The 10116-nt window shown below is 49.4% G+C and overlaps 1 annotated feature.

The window, feature by feature from the left end:
* Window positions 9208-9900: an enhancer, noted in NCBI's record as "OCT4-NANOG-H3K27ac hESC enhancer chr11:61430561-61431253 (GRCh37/hg19 assembly coordinates)". NCBI's record gives its function as "activates a minimal SCP1, AML or CMV promoter by ChIP-STARR-seq in naive H9 embryonic stem cells {active_cell/tissue: H9 hESC(naive)}" and the evidence as "EXISTENCE:reporter gene assay evidence [ECO:0000049][PMID:30033119]".

The raw sequence follows: 10116 nt of genomic DNA on the forward strand, positions 1-10116 counted from the left end.
TAGATAGGTTTCCCTGGATCTTTGGGTCTTCATTCTGAAGGCTCCTGTGTCTTGTAAAACTTTGATTAAATAAATTTGTTTTGCTTTCCTCTTGTTAACCAGTCTTTTATTATAGGAGTGTCAGCCATGACCTTTATGATGAATGAGGAAAGTTAGCACACCTTTCTACCCCTACACAGCTTTGCTGATAATAAAAGTTATTTAATTTCACTATTTTTCGAGATGGAGTCTCGTTCTGTCACCCAGGCTGGAGTTCAGTGGCACAATCTTGGCTCACTGCAACCTCCACCTCCTGGGTTCAAGCCATTCTCCTGCCTCAGCCTCCCGAGTAGCTGGGACTACAGGTGCATGCCATCACGCCCAGCTAATTTTTGCATTTTTAGTAGAGACGGGGTTTCACCATGTCGGTCAGGCTGGTCTCGAACTCCTGACCTTAAGCAACCTACCTGCCTCAGCCTCCCAAAGTGTTGGGGTTACAGACATGAGCTATCACACCCAGCCAAAAGTTATTTTAAAGTAGAGAAGTTCTTGGCATAGTCCCGGGCTCTGACAGCTTCCTGTGGCCTCAGCTTCCTCTTTCAGCTCCTGCCCCATCCAGGACTTGCCAAGAACATTAACCAGGCAATGGCACCTCGGGTCACAGCTTTCCTCCCCTCTGAGCACCGCCCTTCCTTCCTCCCCTCCCTCCCCGACATCATGGTGCTTCCATGGGGAAGTGTCCATTGAATTACAGCAACGCCATGTGTTCACTCCCTCCTTCTCCCCTGCAGAGAAGTGACTTACCTGATGGCCAAGCGTGGGAGGAGCTCCTGGGCATGCCCAGCCCAGCGCACCATCTCTTTTGGAAGCCTTTATTGGTCTGTTGCTGCCTGGCAGTTAGCAGCCTCTGGTATCCCCACTGAGCCAGGGACTGGGCATTTTCAGTGGGTGAATGTCAAGTTCAAGGGTAGGATAGCAGGAAGCCAGCTTGGCCATTGCTCTTAAGTCACAGGAAAATATTTTGATCTCTCTCTGTCTGACTGTTGTGTGTCTCTCTCAGTCGCTTTCAAACTTGGATGGAGAAGAGTAGCATCCTTTACCGGATCCTCTAAAATCCAACATCTGTCTCTTCCCTGCCCCAGTGGCCCCTTCTGTAGGGGTGGGTTGCCCCTCCACACCTGTGGGTGTTTCTCATAAGGTGGAACGAGAGACTTGGAAAAGAAAAAGACACAGAGACAAAGTATAGAGAAAGAAATAAGGGGGCCCGGGGAACCAGCGTCCAGCATATGGAGGATCCCGCCAGCCTCTGAGTTCCCTTAGTATTGATCATTCGTGGGTGTTTCTCCGAGAGGGGGATGTGTCAGGGTCACAAGACAATTGTGGAGAGAGGGTCAGCAGAGAAACATGTGAACAAAGGTCTTTGCATCATAGACAAGGTAAAGGATTAAGTGCTGTGCTTTTAGGTATGCATTCACATAAACATCTCAATGCTTTACAAAGCAGTATTGCTGCCCGCATGTCCCACCTCCAGCCCTAAGGCGGTTTTTCCCTATCTCAGTAGATAGAACGTACAATCGGGTTTTATACCGAGACATTCCATTGCCCAGGGACAGGCAGGAGACAGATGCCTTCCTCTTGTCTCAACTGCAAGAGGTGTTCCTTCCTCTTATACTAATCCTCCTCAGCACAGACCCTTTACGGGTGTCGGGCTGGGGGACGGTCAGGTCTCTCCCTTCCCACGAGGCCATATTTCAGACTATCACATGGGGAGAAACCTTGGACAATACCTGGCTTTCCTAGGCAGAGGTCCCTGCGGCCTTCCGCAGTTTTTGTGTCCCTGGGTACTTGAGATTAGGGAGTGGTGATGACTCTTAAGGAACGTGCTGCCTTCAAGCATCTGTTTAACAAAGCACATCTTGCACCGCCCTTAATCCATTTAACTCTGAGTTGACACAGCACATGTTTCAGAGAGCACGGGGTTGGGGGTAAGGTTATAGATTAACAGAGTCTCAAGGCAGAAGAATTTTTCTTAGTACATAACAAAATGGAGTCTCCTATGTCTACTTCTTTCTACACAGACACAGTAACAATCTGATCTCTCTTGCTTTTCCCCACACCCTTCTCCCCTGCCCAACTCCACGCTCAGGTGGAAGCTGATTTTCTTTTCTTTCTATTTGAGACAGAGTCTCGCTCTGTTGCCTAGGCTGGAGTGCAGTGGCATGATCTTGGTCAGCTCACTGCAACCTCCGCCTCCCAGGTTCAAGCAATTCTTCCACTCAGCCTCCTGAGTAGCTGGGATTACAGGTGCACACTACCACGCCCGGCTAAGTTTTGTATTTTTGTAGAGATGGGGTTTCGCCATGTTGGCCAGGCTGGTCTTGAACTCCTGACTTCAGGTGATCTGCCCGCCTCGGCCTCCCAAAGTGCTGGAATTACAGGTGTGAGCCACTGCGCCTGGTCTAGAAGCTGATTTTCTAGAGGCATCTTCAAGACCCAGGAACTTCAGGACTGAGTTTCTAATGAAGAGAAGAATAGGAAGTCCTTGGGGACAGTCAGAAATGGAGGTGAAGGTACAGGGGGTGTGGGGTGGTGAGGGTGCAGGGGTGCGGGGTGGTGAGAGTGCAGGGGGTGCGGGGAGGTGAGGGTGCAGGGAGTGCGAGGTGGTGAGGGTGCAGGGGCGCGGGGTGGTGAGGGTGCAGGGAGTGAGGGATGGTGAGAATGCAGGGGGGTGCGGGGTGGTGAGGGTGCAGGGGGTGCAGGGTGGTGAGGGTACAGGGGGTGCAGGGAGGAGAGGGTGCAGGGGTGCAGGGTGGTGAGGCAGCATTCCAGACAGAGGGAACAGCATGGGCAAAGGAGAGGAGGCTGGATGCAAAATGAGAGGGGAGGAGTGAGCTGAACTGATGCTGTGCCCTGCACATAGCTCAAGGGACAAACGTAGATCATGGGGAACGTGGGGCCACATGAGTGTTTCAAGCTGAGAAGTATTGATATGCTGGGAGCATCTCCTGGGGCCACTCTGTGGAGGACAGGTCCAGGCCAGAGGCCTGGGAGCAAGAGATTAGCAATGGGGTCGTGAACCCAGAACACTTATAGGGAAGAGGAAAAAGCGATTCCAAAGACTAAAGGGCAGCAGCGGCCTGCACCTCTGGGCACTTCATCTCAGACGCAAATCACTCCAGGTTGCCGAGAGCTCAGAAATGGATTTCTTGAATTATGCAAAGGTAGAGAAGTCAGACCCAACCCCCGCCCCCCATTACAAATATTTTGTAATGTTCCCTTCACCAAGCTGAAATGAAATTCATAAATAAACTAACCTACCCTCACACATGCTTTAAAAAAAAAATCAATGATATCCTAACTATAATATGAAGGAGAAATAAAAGGAGGGTAATTTCTAATAAAATAATATAAATTTCAGGATGAAAATCTGCAGGCAGCCTGGGCGTGGTGGCTCATGCCTGTAATCCTAGCACTATGGAAGTCTGAGGTGGGCGGATCACCTGAGGTCAGGAGTTCGAGACCAGCCTGGCCAACATGGTGAAACCCTGTCTCTCCTAAAACTACAAAAATTAGCCAGGCGCGGTGGTGGGCGCCTGTAATTCCAGCTACCTGGGAAGCTGAGGCAGGAGAATCGCTGGAACCTGGGAGATGGAGGTTGCAGCGAGCCAAGATTGTGCCACTGCACTCCAGCCTGGGCAACAGAGTGAGACGCCATCTCAAAAAAAAAAAAAAAAAAAAGAAAAAAGAAAAAGAAAGAAAATCTGCAGGCTGACTACAGCCAGAGATGAGGTGGCCCCACACTTGCTCCTAGAGGTGGGGCCACGGAGACCATGGCGGCCACAAGGCAGATGGACACAGGTAGTTGTGATGGTGATTCAGACCCCACAGGCGGTGCTGTTGCCAGTGACATGAAATGGGCAACGAGTCTTGGCCAAATTCCAAGCAAAACAAAGGACAATCTTCTCTTGTATACACAATAGTCATGTTCCTAGAAAATTCTGTGTATGTTGAAAGCATGCAAAAGTTATTTATTTTGTGTTTATATAAAAACAGGTCTCTGTCTCCCATTTTGACAAAGAAAAATGCCCTTGCAGATTTCCCAGACTCCTCTGAGGGGCCGTCTTGGCCTCATTGGGTGTCATTGTCTTAGAGCCTTTTCTGTAATTACAGCAGCTGAGACCAGAATGCAGGTGCCCCGTAAAACCAATCTGCATATTCTTCTGGTGGCTGAGAGGCGGGCGGGAGGCTGTGGAACTTAGAGGACAGTTGGGAGAAGGGTCCAGAGAGGTGGGAAGTGAGCAGCCCCCAAGAAATGGCAACAGGCCAAGGCCAGAGGAGATGGCAGGCTGCTGAGACGCTTCCTGGGGTGGGGACAGACAAAAGGTGCTAAACTGTAAATCTGTAATCCCCCCTCTGCTGTTCCCAATTCGTCCATAAAAGTCAGTTACACAGGCTGGGTGCCTTGGCTAATGCCTGTAACCCCACCACTTTGAGAGGCCAACATGGGTGGATCACCTGAGGTCAGGAGTTCGAGACCAGCCTGACCAATATGGTGAAACCCTGTCTCTACTAAAAATACAAAAATTAGCCAAGCATGGTGGTGCACACCTGTAGTCCCAGCACTTGGGAGACTGAGACAGGGGAATTGCTTGAACCTGGGAGACAGAGGTTGCAGTGAGCAGAGATTGCACCACTGCACTACACTGGGTGACAGAGCCAGATTCGGTCTCAAAAAAAAAAAGGTCAGTTACACACTATAGTGCTTGGAGGGGGATCAATAAAAATGATGGCTCATATTCCCTAACTAACTTGCTGATGCTTTACTCACACTAACTCATGTGACCTGCAGCAAGGCCTAAGAGGTAGGGGCCACACTTACCCCCAGTTTATAATGAGAAAACCAAAGCCTAGAGAGATGGAGACCATTGCCCAAGGCCAATCAGCTCATCAGTTGCAGAGCAAGACTTTGAACCCAGGCAGTCTGGCTCCTGTGGCCCCTGTTTGATCACCCCACTAGCAAGGGCCAGACCTGTGCTCTAGTGAAGCATTGCGAAGGGAAATCGCAGCAGTATGGAGGGAGCTGGGGCGGGGTTGAAGAAATCTGGGCTAAGAGGTAACAGGAGATCATAGGCATTCACTGGAGATTCTCAAAAACATTGAGAAGGATGCTAGCCTTCCCTGGTATGAAGGACAGAGACAGCCATTTTCACTGGATCTTACAAGGAAGGGTGACTCCAGGGAGGTGGAAGATCAGAAGCATCCTGTCCCAATGGAAACTCCAAAATGGCCATGTTGGTTTACATCCAGGGCCCATCTGAACTCTGTTTGTTTCTGAACTCTTAAATTTCAACAGCTTCACCTATTTCCATCCCATTTGTTAATAGCTGTATTTTAATGTATTCATTGGCTGAGAAAATACAGCACAAAAGACTACTTTGAATTCAGAAATGCTTTCAGTGAATTTGAATGTTATTAATCACAGTGGCATCCACATTCATTTGAAAAACATTACATCTGTAGAAGCCAAATGCTTTCCAGCGACAGTGCTTGGGGCACTTATGGCCAATGCTGAGTAAAAGGCATAGGTGGAAACTAGGAAGAGGCAAGAAAGAAGTGACTGATGCACCAGCGCCAGAATCCCCCAGGACCCAGCTCAACCCCCTGGGGTGGCTCAGGGTCACTACCACAGTCCTGATCCATGTCACCTACTCCCTGCTGGTATATGTGCTGAGAAAAGGCTTTGATTGGGCCATCCTAGTGCCACTCATTATGGAGCAACTCCATGGGGCAGAGCTTAGGCCAGCCCCCACCAAGAGGCTAGCTGACCTCCTGTCCAGCCCAAATGGAGGCGCTGGACAATTGCAGGTCAGTCCAGGGCAATCACCTGTTCCCAGTGGGGCCGTTGCGAGGGATGGATGAAGTGTCAGAGGCGTTTGAACCAGAGCAACTCCATCTTGAATAGGGGCTGGGTAAAATAAGGCTGAGATCTACTGGGCTGCATTCCCAGATGGTTAGGCATTCTAAGTCATAGGATGAGATAGGTTGACACAAGATACAGGTCATAAAGACCTTGCTGATAACACGGTCTGCAGTAAAGAAGCCGGCTAAAACCCACTAAAACCAAGATGGCAATGAGGCTGACCTCTGGTGGCCCTCACTGGTACACAGTTTACAAATGCCATGGCAATGTCAGGAAGTTACCCTATATGGTCTAAAAAGGGGAGGCATGAATAATCCACCCCTTATTTAGCATATCCTCAAGAAATAACCAGTTGGGCATGGTGGCTCACTCCTCTAATCCCAGCACTTCGGGAGGCTGAGGTGGATGGATCACCTGAGGTCAGAAGTTCGAGACCAGCCTGGCCAACATGGTGAAACCCTGTCTCTCCTAAAAATACAAAAAATTAGCCTTGTGTGGTGGCGGGTGCCTGTTATCCCAGCTACTCGGGAGGCTGAGGCAGGAGAATCTCCTGCACCTGGGAGGCAGAGGTTACAGTGAGTGAGATCACAGCATTGCACTCCAGCCTGGGCAACAAGAGCGGAACTCCATCTCAAAAAAAATAAAGAGGCCGGGCATGGCGGCTCACGCCTGTAATCCCAGCACTTTGGGAGGCTGAGGTGGGAGGATCACGAGCTCAGGAGATAGAGACCATCCTGGCTAACACGGTGAAACCCCATGTCTACTAAAAAAATAAAAAACATCAGCCGGGCATGGTGGCGGGTGCCTGTAGTCCCAGCTACTCGGGAGGCTGAGGCAGGAGAATGGCGTGAACCCAGGAGGCGGAGCTTGCAGTGAACCGAGATCTCGCCACTGCACTCCAGCCTGAGCAACAGAGCAAGACTCTGTCTCAAAAAAAAAGAAAAAAAAAAAGAAAAAGAACCATAAAAATGATTAACCGGCAGCCCTTTTATTCTGTTATTTTTCTAATAAACTTGCCTTCACTTTACTCTATGGATTCGCCTCAAATTTTTTCTTGCACAAAATCCAAGAACCCTGCCTTGGGGTCTGGACCGGGGCCCCTTTCCGGTAACAAAAGGAGCAGGTTGGGGCTACAGTCTTCAAAAGGTGGCTGGAAAATTGGCAAAATTGAAAGGAATGACAATACCAACTGTTGGCAAGGATGTACGCAACTGAAACCCTCACACATGGTTGGGGAGTGTGTTAGGCCGTTATTGCATTGCTGTGAAGAAATACCTGATGCTGCATAGGTGATAAAGAAAAGGGGTTTAATTGGCTCATGGTTCTGCAGACTTTACAGGAAGCATGGTGCTGGCACCTGCTCAGCTTCTCATGAGGCTTCAGGGAGGTTTTCTCATGGTGGAAGGTGAAGTGGGAGCAGGCACATCACATGGCCAGAGGGGGAGCAAGGGGAAAGGAGTTGCCACACATTATGAAAGAACAGAGGCCGAGTGCAATGGCCCATGCCTATAATCCCAGCACTTTGGGAGGCCAAGGCAGGTAAATCACTTGAGGTCAGGAGTTCGAGACCAGCCTGGGCAACATAGTGAAACCCCGTCTCTACTAAAAAAAAAAAATACAAAAATTAGCCAGGCGTGGTGGCAGGTGCCTGTGGTTCCAGCTACTTGGGAGGCTGAGCTAGGAGACTCTCTTGAACCCAGGAGGTGGGGGTTGCAGTGAGCCGAGATCATGCCACTGCACTCCAGCCTGGGCAAGAGAGCAAGACTCTGTCCCCCTAAAAAAAAAAAAAAACAAGAAAACCCCCAAAAAACAGATTTTGGGGGAACTCACTCACTCACTATCAAGAGGACAGAAGCAAGCCATGAGGGATCCACCCAAGCACCTCCCACCAGACCCCACCTCCAACATTGGGGATTACATTCCTTTTTTTTTTTTTTTTTGAGATGGAGTCTGGCTCTGTTGCCCATGCTGGAGTGTAGTGGCCGTGATCTTGGCTCACTGCAACCTCTACCTCCTGGGTTCAAGCGATTCTCCTGCCTCAGTCTCTGGAGTAGCTTGGATTACAGGCATGTGCCACCACACCGGGCTAATTTTTGTATTTTTAGTAGAGATGGGGGTTTCACTATGTTGGCCAGGCTGGTCTCGAACTCATCTCATGACCTTGGGTGATCCACACGCCTTGGCCTCCCAGAGTGCTGGGATTACAGGCGTGAGCCACTCCACCTGGCCGCCTTTTCTCTTATTAATCAGCTTTTTGTCAGTTGATTTTTCAGCAAACCTTCAGTGGGTGAAGGGGAACTTTTCCCATGGCTCCTACAAAAGGCCAAAAGGACAGGATTTCGGACAGTTGAACACCTGGAGTTTCCTGTAGAGTGGCGCCTAGGGGAAAGCGTGGAAGCTCAGAGCCCATACCTCATCCAATGCATCCCTTTATCTGTGTCCTTTGTAATCCTCTATAATAAACTGGTTAACGTAAGTTTCCCTGAGTTCTGCGAGCCGCTGTAGCAAATTAATCGAGGAGGTCGGGGAACCCCAACTTGAAACCAGTCGGTCAGAAGTTCTGGAGGCTTGGACTTGCAGGTGTCTGAAGTGGGGACAGTCTGATGGGACTGAGTTCTAACCCTGTGGGATGTGATGCTATCTCCAGGTAAACAGCACCAGAATTGAACTGAATGAGAGGACACCCAGCCAGTGTCTGCTGCTTGGTGTGTGGGGGAAAAAAACCCACGCATTTGGTCACGGAAGTATTCTGTGGTGTTGATTGTGGTTGTGTTGAGAGGGCAGAAAAACACTTGTGTGTGTGTTTCCTGAGAAATACCTGGTGTGGCCGGGCACGGTGGCTCACGCCTGTAATCCCAGCACTTTTGGGAGGCCGAGGTGGGCAGATCACAAGGTCAGGAGTTTGAGATCAGCCTGGCCAACATGGTGAAACCCCATCTCTACTAAAAATACAAAAATTAGCTGGGCGTGGTGGTGGGCACCTGTAATCCCAGCTACTTGGGAGGCTGAGGCAGAAGAATCGGTTGAACCTGGGAGGCAAAGGTTGCAATGAGCCGAGATTGCACCACTGCACTCCAGTCTGGGTGACAGAGTGAGACTCCGTCTCAAAAAAAAAAAAAGAAAGAAAGGAAAGGAAAGAAAGAAAGAAAGAAAGAAAGAAAGAAAGAAAGAGAAGGAAGGAAGGAAGGAAAGATCTGAATATCTGGGTGTATACATATGTGAAATAAATTCATTGGCCAGGCGCGGTGGCTCACGCCTGTAATCCCAGCACTTTGGGAAGCCAAGGCAGACCAATCACGTGAGGTCAGGAGTTTGAGACCAGCCTGTCCAACATGGTGAAACCCCATCTCTACTAAAAATACAAAGAAAATTAGCTGGGTGTGGTGGCGCTCGCCTCTAGTTCTAGCTACTTGGGAGGCTGAGGCAGAAGAATCACTTGAACCTGGGAGGCGGAGGTTGCAGTGAGTCAAGATCGTGCCACTGCACTCCAGCCTGGGCAACAGAGCAAGACTCCATCTCAAAATAAATAAATAAATAAATAAAATAAAATAAATTAATCAAGCCCTTCACTTAGGATTAGTGTGTAACTTTAATAAAAAAGAAAAAATCTTTCTTAAAAATGGCCAGTAAGTACAAGAAAAGATGTTCAACATCATTAATCATTAGAGAAATGCAAATCAAAACCACAATGAGACACCACTTCATACCCATCAGGATGTCTATTAGAAAACAAAGCAGGCCATCGTGGTAGCTCACGCCTGTAATCCGAGCACTTTGGGTCGCCAAGGCGGGTGGATCGCCTGAGGACAGGAGTTCGAGACCAGCCTAAGCAACATGGTGAAACCCCATCTCTACTAAAACTAAGAAAATTAGCTGGCATGGTGGCGGGTGCCTGTAATCCCAGCTACTCAGGAGGCTGAGGCAGGGGAATCGCTTGAGCCTGGGAGGCAAAGGTTGCAGTGAGCTGAGACTGCACCACTGCACTGCAGCCTGGGTGACAGAGTGAGACTCCGTCTCAAAAAATAAATAAATAAATAAATAAAATTAAGGCCGGGCGCGGTGGCTCACGCCTGTAATCCCAGCACTTTGGGAGACCGAGGCGGGCAGATTGTGAGGTGAGGCGATCGAGACCATCCTGGCTAACACGGTGAAACCCTGTCTCTACTAAAAATACAAAAAAATTAGCTGGGCATGATGGTGGTCGCCTGTAGTCCCAA

Source organism: Homo sapiens, chromosome 11 (assembly GCF_000001405.40).
Source record: "Homo sapiens chromosome 11, GRCh38.p14 Primary Assembly".
Taxonomy (NCBI): Eukaryota; Metazoa; Chordata; class Mammalia; order Primates; family Hominidae; genus Homo; species Homo sapiens.